This window comes from Homo sapiens, chromosome 6 (genome assembly GCF_000001405.40).
Source record: "Homo sapiens chromosome 6, GRCh38.p14 Primary Assembly".
NCBI classification, from domain to species: domain Eukaryota; kingdom Metazoa; phylum Chordata; class Mammalia; order Primates; family Hominidae; genus Homo; species Homo sapiens.
The window spans coordinates 3,899,301-3,915,067 of NC_000006.12; the positions used below are offsets into that span (position 1 = coordinate 3,899,301).

Sequence of the window (15,767 nt, forward strand, 5' to 3'; positions counted from 1 at the left end):
GGTTTAGCCAGGAGCCCAACCATTCTGTATCAAAATCACTGGTTGCAGGAGACTAGGAAACCAACTCGTTTTAAAAACTGGTCAGTAAGGGAAAAGAATCCAGCATGTATCTGGCTTTATATAAACTGCACCTTACATCATCAAATAGTTGATGAGGGAAAGTTTCTCTTTATAGAAGTATTCCAGCAAACAAAATAAAGGAAAAAATGAATTAAAAATTAGAAAATCACCATTTTGCCACCTCTGATGAAATAACCTATGGTAATGATGGGCAACAACCAAGCATAAGGGTCCTGCAGCTGAGGTACACACACCATCTGGGAAGTATTCTTGACAAAGACATTGGACCCGAGATCTAACTACCAGAAATACAGAGGACAGAGACATGTTCAAAGATACCACATAAATGCAATTAGCAAATTGCAGGTTCTACAGGACAAAAATTGTATTTCTTCAACAAATACATTTTTCAGATCCTGGGGTCCAGGTCCAGCCCATGCTGCGGTCCGAGGGGAGTGGGTGGATGAGCGGAAAGAACGCTTGGGGAGCTCTAGGCAGGTGAATATGGTTTTATTCAGCAGCCGCTTTCATTAACAGCTTTTTCACACCAGCGCTTTCATGGGCAGCTTCTCTCACGCTGTCCGCTCTTATCTCAGCCGTTTGCTCCGGCTCTGCGGCTCCTGTCACCCCGACATCTGCAGCTGCATGGCAGACTCTGCCTTGCCTTCAGGGTCAGCAGCTTCACTCTTTCTCTCTCTGGGCACCAGCGCGAGCCGTGCTGTGGCTCCCCTGTGTCCATCTGCAGGACGGACAGCTCTGGTTCTCTCTCTGGGCACCAGGGTGCCCGCCACGTGAAGCCACGTTGAGGCAAAGCTGAGCCCCAAGAGCCAAGAGCCTCTGTACAGCATCACCAGGACAGTTATACCTTTTACAGACAATAGTGGCTCAGAGCCAAGTATGAACTTACACAAACAGGTTATATAACAAGTGGAGGTGTGCGCTGGCACGCGAAACTCACTGAGTCATGCAGGCCTGGGTGTCCGCCTCGGCCTATTCTTTGACCAAAGCACATCCATGTACCTCACAACATTCCAAACAGGTGGTGAGGAAGAGAAACAGTAGAGATTAGAAGAGACTTCAGAGACCCAAGAACCATCTCAGTGATTTTACCTGCTCTGGTGAAGTCCTGATTTTGTCAATTGAAAAAAACCATTATAAAACTTTATAAGATAATCAGCAAAACTGGAAAATTCAATAACTATCTGATAAGATTGTGTAATTATTGTTCATTATTTTAGGTACAATATTGATATTAAGGTTATTTTGTAAAGAGTTTTACTATTTTAGAGAGGCATACTGAAATATTTATGGACAAAATGATGCGATGTCTGGGATTTGCTACAAAACAATCCAGGTGGGGGACAGTACAGGTGAAAAAAGATTGGGTATGAGGTGACAATTGTTAAACTGGATGATGAATACAGGAGGATTATACTACACTATTTCCCTTCTCAATATTTATAAAAATTTAATGAAATTTTCCATAATGAAGTTTATCTCCTAAGAATTTTTATCTCTAGGCTAATTAGTGGATACGTTCCACTCAGTGCAAACCTGCACCAGTGGTTTGCGTAAGACGAGCCAACCTGTCTGGGTTCTGCTTCCAATTCTGGGTCAAAGATTCACTGGCAAACATCCACAAAATAAGCAAAAGTCAATGCAGCACTTTGCTAAGCATGAAGGATGCATGAGAAATAATTTTTACCACAAGTATCTCACCATCAGTTTGCAGGCAAGAGACGACAGGAATGCGTACATGTCAGTGGTGACATCATCCATACAACATTGGCTAGTGATTTTACACAATACCAAGTGGGGCCACCTCTGTCACTCAGGGTGACACACAACCCTCTTACCATATCCAAGTTTCAAGAAGCTCTGCTGATCAAATGGGCCATCTCCCCGCTCACTATCCCTCTCTCTATCTAGTTAATTCTAATAGCAGGCTTGTATTAGCTTAAATTATATTGCAGATTGACCAGAAAATTCTGACTTCCATTGCAACATTGAAATAAGCATCTTATTCCGATGGTTTGCACCAATAGTTACTCCGTTGCCCTCTGTGTCTCCTTCAGGGATCAGCACAAATGAAACAGACATGGTCACCTCCCAGGGAGGACTTGAGGACAGTGGGAGGCACTCCCTCCAGCCATGGTTCTGACAGCACCAGGCAGGCTGGGAAGGGCACCTCTGCTGAACAACCGTGTGCTCAAGGCCGCACAATTCATTCTTTCAAGTCCCACATCTACTTCACCTTGTTTTAAGGGATGATGGTATAAATAAGAGCTACAGTAGCAGCCACAGAAGGAAAGCAGGGTGGAAATGCATTCTGGATGGTCCTCTAAAGTAAAAATAAATAAGAACTCTGTGTCGTTGAATAAATCCTCTCTTCTCTCATGCGCCCTGCACTTCCATAGGCTGGGCAGTTCGTGCTTGGAAAGATGCTCAGCCCAGACGTGAAGTGTCTGGCCCCCACTGGTGCCGTTTTTGGAGAAAGCCAGTGAACAGGGGGCCACTCCTGCACTGGGGCTTGGATCTCTGGTGGAACCTGATTCTGAGGATTTCATAGCTGTTTCCTCTCATCCTCATTTGTTTCCTTTCTTTCTTTCTTTTTTTTTTTTTTTTTTTTTTTTTTGAGATGGAGTCTCGCTCTGTCACCCAGGCTGGAGTGCAGTGGCGCGATCTTGGCTCACTGCAAGCTCTGCCTCCCGGGTTCACGCCATTCTCCTGCCTCAGCCTCCCGAGTAGCTGGGACTACAGGCACCCGCCACCATGCCTGGCTAATTTTTTGTATTTTTAGTAGAGACGGGGTTTCACCATGTTAGCCAGGATGGTCTCAATCTCCTGACCTCGTGATCCACCCGTCTCAGCCTCCCAAAGTGCTGGGATTACAGGCGTGAGCCACCGCGCCCGGCCTTGTTCCCTTTCTTAGAACATACCTTGCAAAGGTTCAGGGCACTCGCAGGGGCTGTGAAGTGAAGTGAGCATTTGAAAGACAAGATTCCTGACATTCCCAGAAACGGTCCCTGGTCTCCTACCAAATGCACTGACCCTGGCGATGGTCACCCTCATGTTGACCTGAACCTAGGAGTGGAGGGAAAAGTGGAGAAAAAACTTGTTCCTTGTCATAGTAAGACACGGCTATGGAGAGAGGGGGGCTTCAGCCCTGCCCTGGCCTCGGTAACATGACTGTGCTCGTGCCTCCTTTCTCCAAGCTGTGGCGTGAGCTCACTCATCTTTGGGGAAAGCTGCAGCCGCCTCCTGCCCTGACGCCCTACAGATGGGTCTCAGCTCAGGGCAGGGCTGCGGGAGGCAACAGAGAGGCTCCCTTGTGGTATCATCTCAGCCAGGGGTGAAACCCAAGGAAATCTTAAGACCAGAGCTGCAATTAATTATATCATGCTTATTCCTTAGATTCCTGAGTTCAGTTATCCCTGATCCGTTCAACAGACTTTAACTGAGTAGTTGCTGAGGACCGAGCACTGTGCGAGGTGTTATTTGCTCACAGCTGATTTATTTCTAAAGCTGACTTAAAGCCTGCCTTGGCACTGTAGGAAGATCTCTACTCCTTTCAGTTCTGTTTTTTCCACTTTTTCTTAATATAGGAGGTCATATCCGGCACAGGGGCTGTCCGTATAGCTCTGCTTTCGAAAACCAACTCCCTGCTCAGCTGGGCTAGGATTGAAGGGTTTTGCCCAGTTAAAATGTTCCTTTACTTCCATCTTCAGGCAGGAGAACACAGCCCTCCCTCTGTCCTTGGCAATTATCCTGCAGCAGAATCACGATCCCCCTCCCCAGCCACCACCACTTCCCCCAGGAAGCAGCTGATGGCTCTGGGTCCATTGTATCTTCTAGACAGGGAACTGCTACCAGCCTGCAAAATCAGCCCGAGAATACAAAAAGCCAGTTCAGAGATGCTGCTATTGAAACTCGGTTTCCGTTTCTGTCATTTCCTAACCTTCCTGAGCAGGTAGTACAAGGCCTTAGTTTTCTCCTCCATGCCATACCAATGCCTACAACATTTCTTGCTTGCATCATTCATTTGACACCTAGCACAACATGGTTCCATTTTGTTCTGGATATGTTCTGATTCCCAAACTAGACTTTCAAGGAGTGAGGCTGGTGGCAGGGCTGGTGCAGAGTGGGAGGGTGGTGAGAATTTAACTTCCGCAGGCATAGTTTCACTTGGCATAGAGAATTCTTTTTTAGCCAAATCCTTAAGGATCATCTTGTTTTGGTAAACCTTATTTTTGTTTTAGAAACAAAAACATAGCTCGTGCGGCAAAGCCAAGAGTGAGACTATTAAAACAAAATTGTCCTGTTTAATACATTTCCTCAAAGTGCCTGAGAGTGAAAGACTAAGAGACCCTAGACCAAGGCCAGGTGCAGTGGCTCACGCCTGTAATCCCAGCACTTTGGGAGGCCGAGGCGGGCGGATCACGAGGTCAGGAGATCGAGACCATCCTGGCTAACACGGTGAAACCCCGTCTCTACTAAAAATACAAAAAATTAGCCGGGCGTGGTGGCGGGCGCCTGTAGTCCCAGCTACTCGGGAGGCTGAGGCCGGAGAATCGCTTGAACCCGGGAGGCGGAGGTTGCAGTGAGCCAGGATCACGCCACTGCACTCCAGCCTGGGTGACAGAGCGAGGCTCCTTCTCAACAACAACAACAACAACAACAAAACCCAGATGAAAAACCACAAACAAACAAACAAACAAACAAAATGACAGGGGAGGTTCCACTTGGGAAAGAGCTACTGGGAAGTTCCTGCCGGCAAGGAGAGCAGAGGGCGTTTAACAACCGGGGATTTGATTGCAAGGATATGTGACGTTTATCTTCAGGAGGTTTTGGGGTGCAGTAATGTAGCCACCTCCATCTCTCCCATGGGTGCCCCAATTTCTCACACCTTGAGGTGGGAGGTATCCCCCCTGAAGGAGACACAAATTCAGGAAGATAATGCAGTGAGACGATCAGTAATCTGGGGCAGGGATTCCGAAACAAGAAGCTAGAGGCGACTGGGAGGAATCTTAACGCGCGCCTCTCCGCCCTGGAAATTTGGGAGGGAGCCTGGCTTTCCCAGTATTTGTGAAATGGGGGTTTGGGAGCTTTATTTACATTTCAAAAGGTCTTAGTGATCACAGGCCCAGGACCTAATGCAGCAAAATGTGCCCTGAATTAACTTTGGTTACTACAAAGATGCTGGTTTTAAATGGGGCAAAAATAAAATGAAGAACCTGCCTAAAAATCTGTCTCTTTGCAGCCTAGAGTGTGGCTGGTAAATGAGGTCTTTTTTCATTTGGTACCATAAATAACACATTCAGGAAGATTCCATCAACTGAGTCCTGTGGAAATATTGGCGTCAGAATTAGCAACACTGGGTTCATTGTGAGGTGGTGCTGATACCCTTCCAGCGGGTTTTGGTAATCACACCTCACAAAGAGCTCCCGATTTGCCAAGAGGCTGCTAGAAAGATGCAGGCCTCAGGAACTATGCCATGGTTTGCTATTTGTTTTTCTTTTCCACATAATTACTTTTCAAAGCAATCAAAATTATCTGTAATTTTTCATTATAAAAATAACATATTCACAAAATGTGGCAAAAGCAACTGTGAACTTTTCAATCTATTTCTTTGCAGTTTTTCATTGTTTATCATTTTTAAATTGAAAAATGTTTTAGAAATTGTAAAGATAGAATCTTGCTATGTTGCCCAGGCTGGTCTTCAAGCAATCCTTCTGCTCTGACCCCCCAAAGTGCTGGAATTACAGGGGTGAGCCACCATATCCGACCTCATGGTTTAATTTTCTAAAAATTATGAAACCATTCAAACACACAGAAAACAGCACAACAGACACCTGTATACTCACCACTAAAATAAAAAATATGTTTGCATTTTACTGTATAACTACAGTGCTCTCTCTCCCTTTCAAATAACCCAAACATGACAAATACAGCAGAAGCCCCCACCCCGGGGTCACCTCCTCCCACATGAACCCACATTTAGAGACGACCATTGTGCTGAATTCAGTGTGCCACAGTCCTGGCTCTGATTTTGTATTTTTACTGCATTATTACATGAATCCATAAATATGTACGGTTGTTTTGAATGTTTTTGAAATGTACGTGATAACTTCCTACTGTATCTGTTTGCTCTTCATTTTTCCTTTCAACATCACTAATTCTCTCATTTTAACTGCTGCGTTGACTGAATAAACCAGTTTATTCATTCCTCTGCTGAAGGAGGGCTAGGTCGTGGCTGCTCCGTTGCAATTACAAACGTTTTGCACAGACCTTTTCCTGGGACTCCTTGTGTAGACATGAAGGACTGGATCCTGGAGTATGCACACTTCAACCTTAGTGGAAATGGACAGGCTTCTCTCTTAAGTGCTCTTATCATGTATCTTCCCATCTTTCTGAGTTCCATTTCCCCTTGAAAGAAGGCAGTCAGTAATTTGGAAAAAAAAATTACAGAACAAGAAGCTGGATGTGGCTGGGAGAAATCTGGAAAAAACAAAACAAAACAAAACAAACAAACAAAAAAAACACAACAACAAAAAAAACCAGCCACCTCCTCCCTGGAAATATAGGGAAGGAGGGAAGGATGCTGTTTCTCCCAGCAGTTGTGAAATGGGGCTTTGAGGAGCTTTATTTACATGCAAAGGGCAGCAGCTACCCAGATGGCCCCGTCGAGGCGGCCAACCGGATGTGCCCTCCTGCAGGCCTGGGGCCTCATCCTCACCAGCCCTCGGCAACAGCAGCCGTTCATTTTTCCAACGAAGGGGAGGGTGAGCGTCTATGTGTGTGTTTACTGGCCCTTCAGCTTCTTCTCTTCTTCGGCTTCCTTTTCTTCACATCACCTCACTCCCCATGGGACTGTTTGTCCCACGCTGATTATTGCATGGGCAGTGGCCAACAAAGTGTCCTGCTCCTGGTAGGACGGCCGCCCTGCTGGCACACCAGCGGGACACCTGTGTTTCAGTTGTCTCTGTCTGGACCGTGTGCCCCTGCCAATTCCCACCAGCACGAACTGTCCCCAGATGGAAAAGAGTGCTGGGGAGGCCGGACTCGGCTAAGATAAAGGAAAGCAAAGAGAAAGGAAAGCTGTCTTCTGTCGGGGGACCCTGTGCCAGTTTGTCAAGACTCAGCCAAGGTCTTGTCTGGGTGAACGAGGTCCGAGCTGACTTTGAAGTTGAGAAGATGCAGGGGCGTTATAAATGAACACCTCTTGGGGTCAAGGTGGGTGGAAAGTAGGACTGTGGGTAAGAAGGGCCCCAGAGGTAGGCCAGGATGCAGGCAGGGCCACCTGAGACACGCTCCAGGGACGTTTCTATAAAGTGGCCTTGGTCTGGCCCCAGGTCAAGGTCCACGCTGGGAGGCGGGGCAGGCTCTTCATTTTCACTGTTAGCGCTCCCTGTTCTTTGTCAGCCCACATACCCACCAGAGCATGCTGTGTGGTCCACATTCTTTCAGGAGTTTTCTTCTCCTCCCTCCCCCACGTGCCACCATGGAGGCCAGCAGGTTTCTCAGTGACTTTCTGCATGGCAGGCTTTTTTCTTGTTTCCTGCACACAAAGAATGACTTCAGCATTTCAGCTGCAGGGTCTCCTACTAGACTGCACCTTCAGCATTTTTTTAATTTCTTAGTGTTACATAAAAAAAAGCTTATAAAATAATTGGGTGCATCTTCAAATCTATAATACAGTAATCTTATTTGCAAATTTAAAAAAAAATGAAGGAATTAGTTCAGAGCCTGTGGACAGAGGTGAGCAAAGGAAAAGCGCCAGAGGCTTCTATAAATGCTTCTTGGTTCATGCATCGGTTGACTGCGTCTGACCTTATACCCTGCAGATTTGGATTCTCAATTGATCTGCTTTACACTTGAGGACTAAGATCTGATTTTTTTTATCTTGCCCAAATTCCTATCTAAGGGGTCTAGGGAGTCATACCCTACAAACCATAAATTCTCATCAGATGGGTTTTATTTGACCCTGTATATAGTGACTTACTTTCCAATCTGACTCTGGCATAACAAGGAAGAAAATCGAAATGTTTTACCCCAAAATACATTTCCTTGCCATGCCTTGAAATTGTCCTGCAAAGTCTCTGTGGGAAAAATCCACAATCTACAGAGAATCTCCTTCCCCGTTTGTTTTCCTTCCTTTCTTTCCAGACCCAGGAGATAACCAACTAAGAGCCAGGCACCCTTTTAGGTCTTATAAGAAACATTTTACAACCTGCTCTCTCTCTGAAGTCTGCTATCTGAGAGATTCCTCTGAACAATAAAACTTGGTCTCCACAGTCCTTTATCTTAACCTGAACATTCCTTTCCATTAATTCCAGACCTTCAAATAAACTCTACCAATTATCAACCAGAAAATGTTTAAATTTACCTATAGCCTGGAAGCCTCCCCACTTTGAGTTGTTCCGCCTTTTCTGAACCAAACCAATGTGTTTCTTAAATGTATTTGATTGATGTCTCATCCCTTCCTAAAATACATAAAACCAAGCTGTACCTCAACCACCTTGGGCACATGTCCTCAGGACTCCTGAGGGCTGTGTCACAGGCCATGGTCTCTCATATTTGGCTCAGAATAAATCTCTTCAAATATGTTAGAGTTTAACTCTTTTCGTCAACACACTGAATCTCAGTCTCAGCTGAGCAGTGTTTCAGTGAGGCGTTACTACACAGCTTGATATACAAACTCACTTAAGCAATTACTGATATTTAACCTGACATAATTTTTATCATTACATGAAGTAGTAGTAAAAGAGAGCAGAAGCTGGATTGCCCTGGGAGCACAGTTCAGAGTGGAGTGGGGAGCTAAGAGGATCCTAGTTCACCTTCTACCTTTAGGTCAGCTCAACTCCAAAGGCCAAAGTCCCAAAGACCCTCTCATTCACACTCGATTTGAAAATTCCTTTCCAAAGTAATTTTCTTCCACTTGCTGTTCTTTGAGTGCAAACTACAGTTTCGAATACAACCCCACACTTCAGCGATCCCACGTTCAGAAACGTGCATGAACCTCACAGACACGCTGTTGCATGAGTTCATTCAAGTGAAGTTCACAAATAAGCAACATCAATGTCAGTACTAGAGGGTAGGGTGAGCACCCTCATGGGAGCACAGTGACTAGAAGTGGACTAAAAGGGCACATCTGGGGCGCTGGCGGTGTTCTGGTTCCTAGTCCAGGTGCTTGCCACCCTCACGTGTTCACTTTCTGAAAATTCTTTGGGCTGACCCCTCAGGATGTGTGCGCTTCTCTCTATGAACGTTGTGCTCAATTAAAAGGCTTATTTAAAGAAAAATACAGTGAATCAAAAGCACCTTGAAACCTAAGCAAAGTTTTTGAAGATCATTCCCAAAGAGATTCATCGAGGGAGGGAGTGAGGAAAAGAGATGAATGAATGCAAATGATGATGCTGCTGAAGCTGCTGGTAGTCAGATGGCTGGGGAGGGTGACAGTACAGGTTCTCCATGGCACGCAGTCCCAACTCAGCTTTCTCATTTTCCAGCAGTGCTCACGCTTCTGTCATCTGCAGCTTCCTTCCACGGTGGCATCCTTAATGCCCTTCTGTGGTGCCCCTTTAGCAAATGCTCAAAGGGAATGTTGAAAATCAGGTCAGCTGTTTCCAAAGACACCCAGTGGCTTTTTTCCTGGCCTCTGAGCTCTGCTTAGCTGCAAGAAGAGACGCAAAGGGGCGGCACCAGCCCCACAGACGCAAGGATTGCTTGGGATAGCCCAGGGCTTCCACTCTCCACTAGGGCTGTGAATCTCTCACTGGGCTGCTGGTGAGGCAGCTCCACATGACTCAGGAAGACACTCTTGGGCTGCCCAAAGCATTTTAGGGGGCCTACCCAGCCTACAACAGGTGCAGCTGCCGGGCGACCCAGCCTGGCAGTCCTCAGGGCCAGGCCCTATGTTGTCTCCAGACACAAGGAGACATTTGAGACTACCAGGGTAACTAACTGACGCTCAGCTGAAGGAAGCTGACAGCATTGCCAGCCAGAGTCTTTATGGACCCATCGGTCACCATCTCTTGGATTGGTTTGCCATGTATACGGGCTTGTGTGCAAACACACACACCTATTCACCTGGTTCCCATGGGGATTTAGTGTAAAGTTCTGTGGATTCTTTCTCCCACTTACAAAGCAGCCTGTGTGCAGACGAGTGGACCTGGAGATCTGATGATTTACACTGGGACCAGCCCAGGGGAGGGAAAGCGGATCCAGGGACCCAGCTGCCCCTGAAAGAAAGGCTGTGTTTGCAGTGCTCGGGGAACATGTATGCATCTTTGTTTTGGGGACAAGGAAGGGAAGGTGACTTGCAAGGAGCCCTGTTGCCTAAGGCTTAGGGAGAAAACTGAGATTCGTTTTTCTGTTTCCAAGGAAAGAAAAAAATCCATCAAGCAAATGATTCAAGGTTCACCTCCCACATGCTCTCTGGATAAATTGCAGGATGGTGGTTTATATGCAGTATTGGGCCTCGCTCCTGAGCCACATTGAGCTACATATTAAGCACCACTACTTCAGTGGGATCAAACAGTCCTGTAAATAACAACCTCATAGCCAGTTACTGACATCAACTCCATCCACAGGCTTTGGGAAATTACCTCCAGCCACATCAGCGTATTTCTTTTTAATATCTCAGAAAAAGGTATGAAATTGCTCATTCCCAGCTCATATTACATTGACCAGTAATAGAAAGATACTGCTTTGCTCTGCATGTGGCAGAATGTGGTCCCCTCTGGCCCTGCCCAGCCAGCTCTGTGCCCCCGACCACCAACCCTGAGTGCAGAGCCCGTCTCTAGCCTGTGAAGTCTGTCTTTTTTTGGAGCCTGTAGCTTTTTGAGAGAATGACCAGGGGGCACTTGCTTTGAGTTGTGGGAGTTTTCTCCTTTGTTTGAAGGAAGGGTCCTACTGTTTTCTCTGAGGCCTGCTGCTGCCTTGGAGATAGGCTTCTTGCTTCTTAACAGCTAAGCAGTTGGAGAAAAACCAACGATTTCTTCCTTTCGCAGCAGTGTGTCTTCTCTGGGAAATTCAAAGCATAACTCTTGACAACAGTCCTGGATACCTGGTGCCCTGCACCCCCCTCCGTGGTCGTGCAGACACTGAATCCTCCCTGAAGCACAACAATCCTGCCCTAACTCCCTTCCACCCACCACCACAGGTGGCCAACTACTTTAAAAGTCCATAGCTCAACCATTTTTACAAAAACTACAGCTATTTGGAATTTCTGTGTTTAACCCGCATGAATTTGATATGTCTTCTCCAGACAAGGGAACTCTTTTCTCCTTCAGTGTGTGTGTGATAGGAATGACCTGAGACATAGAGTCAGAAGCCCTAGGTCCCAGCTCTGGCCCCACTGTGAACAAGCTGATTTCTCTGAACCATTGTCTCCATATCTGTAAAACGTGCATCCCCAAAAATGCCTAATTCAGAGAGGGCAATGAATAAAAAATATACTTGAAAAGTATGGGAGAATGCACCTTATAAATTCTAAAACCAAAATATGATATTACCAAACCATGAAACTTGGCCAGAAAGATGTAATCTGTTCTTATGATGAATTTAACAAATGGATTGCTGTGATTTTTATGGACCCGTTAATATGGTTTCCACAAATAATGAATAGCCAGTAGAAATTGATACACAAAGGATTCAAAATTATTGATTGGCTGTGCAGTGAGCCAGGGAAAGAAAGTGGCAGAATTTTTCTTGATTTATAAAGAAAAAATGAGGGAAGAAGAAAAGATGGGTGAGCTTAAGACAAACATAAGAACCTAACAGAAAGAATATGCACAACTTGGACTACAACAAATAGCTGGGAAATGAGTGACAGGAAGCAAGCTCACCGGCTACATTCTTATCTGGGTCACAATGGAAAGGATATGTCTTCTGCATCTTCACTCTCCCTCTCTGTCTCTGACTCCTATTGTCCACTAGGAAAACAAGCGCTGGAAGTCAAGAACTTTCTCAACACTGGAGCCCAGTGCCCAAATCCATGGCTGGCAGGAGCTGGACTTCAGTGGCCAGTGGCTGAAAGACCTGCAGGCCACTCTTGAGAAAGGGCATGAAGTGGCCTCAGACACCTCCAGTATCTCCTGTTCATGGGGGTCCCTGCTCTCCCAAATGGTTCAGATGCTTCAAAGTTTAACCAGTAGACATAAGAGGAATGTTCTGGAAGCCATTCAGCACTGTCCACAATGTCGCAGGATGAGCAGATCTGTCTGCTAGTAGAAGGAAATGCCGTTAGAGTTTGCTGACCTGAACCCAGATACCAAGTCAACCCAGGTCTTATCCCATCAAGTTGACATCCGCTCTACACAGATCAATGTTTGCAAGAATCATCTCTCTCTGCTCTCTCTCTTCTTCCTTCCTCCACATTACTTGCAGTCTTTTCTAGCCATCAGTTCTCCTGGAGGGTCCTGGCTCCACCTGGAGATCTACAGCAAAGTCCTAGAGGTCCTGCTGAATTTGCTTTTCCCTTTCTCTCCTTGTGGCAGAGCAGCGGCAGGAGAGCTAGGGATGTTCTCCTGCTATGCTGATGCTACTCACAGCAAAACTCCTTCGGTGTTATGCTAACAAGTTTCTGTCTCAACTCCATCTTTCCGCACACTCCTCTCCCTGCTAGGTGCAAGGAGGGGGAAAGAAAACAATCTCTCCCTATGCACTTTAAACATTCCCTGTGATGTGTCACCAGACTTTATCGCCTTTCAGGCACTAGTGAGTCACTTTTTGAGGCAGGGCCCCCGCTCTAATGTCCACAGAATCCCGAAGCAGAGATGCTGCCAAATTCACCCCCACTGGTGGCTCACTGCCAAGGAGAAACAGGAGCTGTCTTTTTTCAGAGGTCTTTAAAAATAGTGTAGGAGGCCAGGGGTACATTAAGTGACCTCTGGAGGTCCAGTCTGGGCTCAGGAAGTTCTGACAAATTCAAAAATGTAGGTTTTAAGAGACTTGGGGGGCTTTACACAACGAGGCCCTTTTTAGCATTTGCTGCTGCAGGCTGATGGGCTGAATTAATCACTGTTCCTCTAATCAACTAAGGAAAATGGTCTTTCCTTCAAAAACAGCTGTCAGCAATGACTATAAATTGGTTCATTTTATGCAGAAAGATGCCCTGTGATAGGCTGTCAGCCAAATGAATGCTGACTTCAATGTGACTTGAAACAGAATGTTGGAAGTGGCAATATATGAATGGAACAAAACAGGACAATGAAGCAGCATCTCCATAGTCACAGCGAGGCATCATGAAGGATATACAGGGAGTACATTTTGAGACTGACAAGCAAAAATCATAATCTTAACAATGTTGCCTAATGTTTAGTGAGCACTTATTATGTCCTAGACTCTACACTAAATATGTCATTTGTCTTATTCCACCTACCATTAAAATATTTCCGAGCAGGAGTGTTTCTATTGAGACCTGCCAGAACATTGTCAAAATCATAGGCCCAAAGAGCCTAGCTTGAAAGCATGCTGTACTCTAGCAGAGGGGCCTGGAAATGCACAAATCACAGAGACAAACACAAATCAGAGCGGCAGAAGCCACCTTGGTCTGAAGCTGGACTTAGGAGAAAAGGCTCTCCACTTGCTATAATAGGTCTTTAGACAATTTCACACCCTCCAGGTCTCTGGCAGAGCTTAGAGGCTAAAATTTTGTTTAAAAACAAACAAAAGCAGTTTGCCTTAAGTGGGCAAATGGAAAGGGAGATTTTTTACTTGCAAATAAGGAAATGATATTTAGTAATTTTCTAAGCATCTGTCTGTCCTATGTTTTGCTTTAGGGACCTATAACATTCCTCAGTGCTTGCCAATCTCTAGTTTGGAAGCCAAAAGACACTACCTCATAGGCAGTGAGTCAGCAAATGAGAGTGGGTGGGAAGCCAAGGGAGTAAGAATAGGTGGAAAGGGCTGGACAGACTCCAAATCCAAGCTCTGTCACTGACGAGCTTCAGGACTTCGGAAAAATTACACTAACTCCTTTAGCCTACCTCCTAATCTGTAAAACAGACATAACGAATGCTACCTTGCAGAGTCGCTGTGTTCATGAGATAATGAACATACATTATTCATTGCCCATGGATGTGCCTGCTACATAGTCAAGATTAACTCATGGTAACTATTATTTAAAAGGACCACTGGATCCAACTCCAAGATTTACTATAAAGCTATGGTAATGAAGGCAGTGTGGTATTGGTGAAAGAACAGAGAAAAAGATCAATGGAACAAAATAGAAAACCTGGAAATAGACTTACATAAATATAGTCAGCTGATCTTCAATAAAGGAACAAAGACATTTCAATGGAACAAAGGTCATCTTTTCAACTAATAGAGCTGGAACAACTTGTCCACAAAAGAGTCAAACTCTGTAAATATTTGAGGAGATTTGTTCTGAGCCAAATATGAGTGACTAATGGCTCATGGCATAGCCCTCAGGAGATCCTGAGAACACGTGCCCAAGGTGGGGTCAGGGTACAGCTTGGTTTTATACATTTTATTTTATTTTGTTTTTTTATTTAATAAAGTTTTATTTTTCCAAATGTACAATTGGTTGAACCTGTTCATGCATCTTCACCAGCAGCTGGAGCATCCCCGCCCTTGGTATTTCTGGTGTAAATTACTTGAACTCTGTGCTTTGAAACAGTTTGTTAAGTCCTTTACTAAGGAGCTCCTGAAGGGCTGCTCTGGCCAGGGAACCTCGAATCTTTAGTCTCTTAGAGACCACAGCTGGAGCTCTAAGTTTATAGTTGGGAACTTCCTTACAGAGTTTGTCATAAGTAGCTTTGTCAAACAAGACTAAGTTATTGAGCTTGTCCCGAACTTTGCCTTTGGATCACTTCTTCATTTTGGCTTTGCCCCAGGATTTGTTCACTGGGTCTTTGTCTTTCTTGCCCAACTTTTTGGCATCTTTCTTCTTCTTGTTGTCCTTGGGTGCCCTTGTGAAGCTCAGAGAGCAGCGGAGAACCGATTTTACACATTTTATGAGACAAGAGACATCAATCAAATACATATAACACGTACATTGATTCAGTCCAGAAAGACAGGACAACGGGAAGCTGAAGGGCTTCCAGGTCACAGGTAGATTCAAAGATTTTCTGATTGGCAATTGGTTGAGAGAGTCAAGTTATTGTCTGAAGACTTAGGAATGTCTGGGTTAAGATAAGTGGTTGTGGAAACCAAGGTTTTATCACACAGATGAAGCCTCCTGGTAGAAGGCTTCAGAGAGAATAGATTGTATTTCTCATCAGACTTAAAGAATCTGTTCTATTAGTAATTTCAAAAGGGAGGAGGATGTAATGAGGCATGTCTGACCTCCGCTTCCCATCATGACTTGAACTCGCTTTTCAGGTTACCTTTCGAACGCCCTTGCTAAGAGGAGGGTTCCATTCAGATGGTTTGGGGGCTTAGAATTTTGTTTTCGGTTTATAAACCGGGTGTTCAAATGCATATATATCCCCATAACTATATATATATATATATATATATATATATATATATATATATATATATATATAACTATATATATAACTTTATATATAGTCTTTGCACCCTTCACAAAAACTAACTCCAAATAGATCAGAGACCTAATAGTAAAATGAAAAACTATAAAACTCCTAAAAAGTAACATCAGAGAGAATACAGATTACCATGATTCCTTCAATGACTTCTTAGATACAACACCAAAAGCACAATCCATGAAAGAAAAC

The 15,767-nt window shown here is 44.9% G+C and overlaps 1 long non-coding RNA gene and 1 pseudogene across 1 annotated transcript, besides 3 other annotated features; both read right to left on the reverse strand.

The window, feature by feature from the left end:
* Window positions 340-1,539: an enhancer, noted in NCBI's record as "BRD4-independent group 4 enhancer chr6:3899874-3901073 (GRCh37/hg19 assembly coordinates)". NCBI's record gives its function as "activates an origin of replication core promoter dependent on BRD2, P300/CBP, MED14 and CDK7 cofactors, and independent of BRD4, by STARR-seq in HCT116 cells {active_cell/tissue: HCT116}" and the evidence as "EXISTENCE:reporter gene assay evidence [ECO:0000049][PMID:35650434]".
* Window positions 4,361-4,862: an enhancer, noted in NCBI's record as "H3K4me1 hESC enhancer chr6:3903895-3904396 (GRCh37/hg19 assembly coordinates)". NCBI's record gives its function as "activates a minimal SCP1, AML or CMV promoter by ChIP-STARR-seq in naive H9 embryonic stem cells {active_cell/tissue: H9 hESC(naive)}" and the evidence as "EXISTENCE:reporter gene assay evidence [ECO:0000049][PMID:30033119]".
* On the reverse strand, window positions 5,841-12,702 carry TGILR (TGF-beta induced TARBP2 interacting lncRNA). Its single transcript, NR_198974.1, has one exon. It is a non-coding gene; the product is annotated as a TGF-beta induced TARBP2 interacting lncRNA (long non-coding RNA).
* Window positions 12,432-12,629: a silencer, noted in NCBI's record as "fragment chr6:3911966-3912163 (GRCh37/hg19 assembly coordinates)". NCBI's record gives its function as "represses an EF-1alpha promoter that drives an FKBP-Casp9 reporter gene in an ReSE screen in phorbol 12-myristate 13-acetate-treated (for megakaryocytic differentiation) K562 erythroleukemia cells {active_cell/tissue: K562(+PMA)}" and the evidence as "EXISTENCE:reporter gene assay evidence [ECO:0000049][PMID:32094911]".
* RPS25P7 (ribosomal protein S25 pseudogene 7) lies at window positions 14,576-15,021 on the reverse strand (annotated as a pseudogene).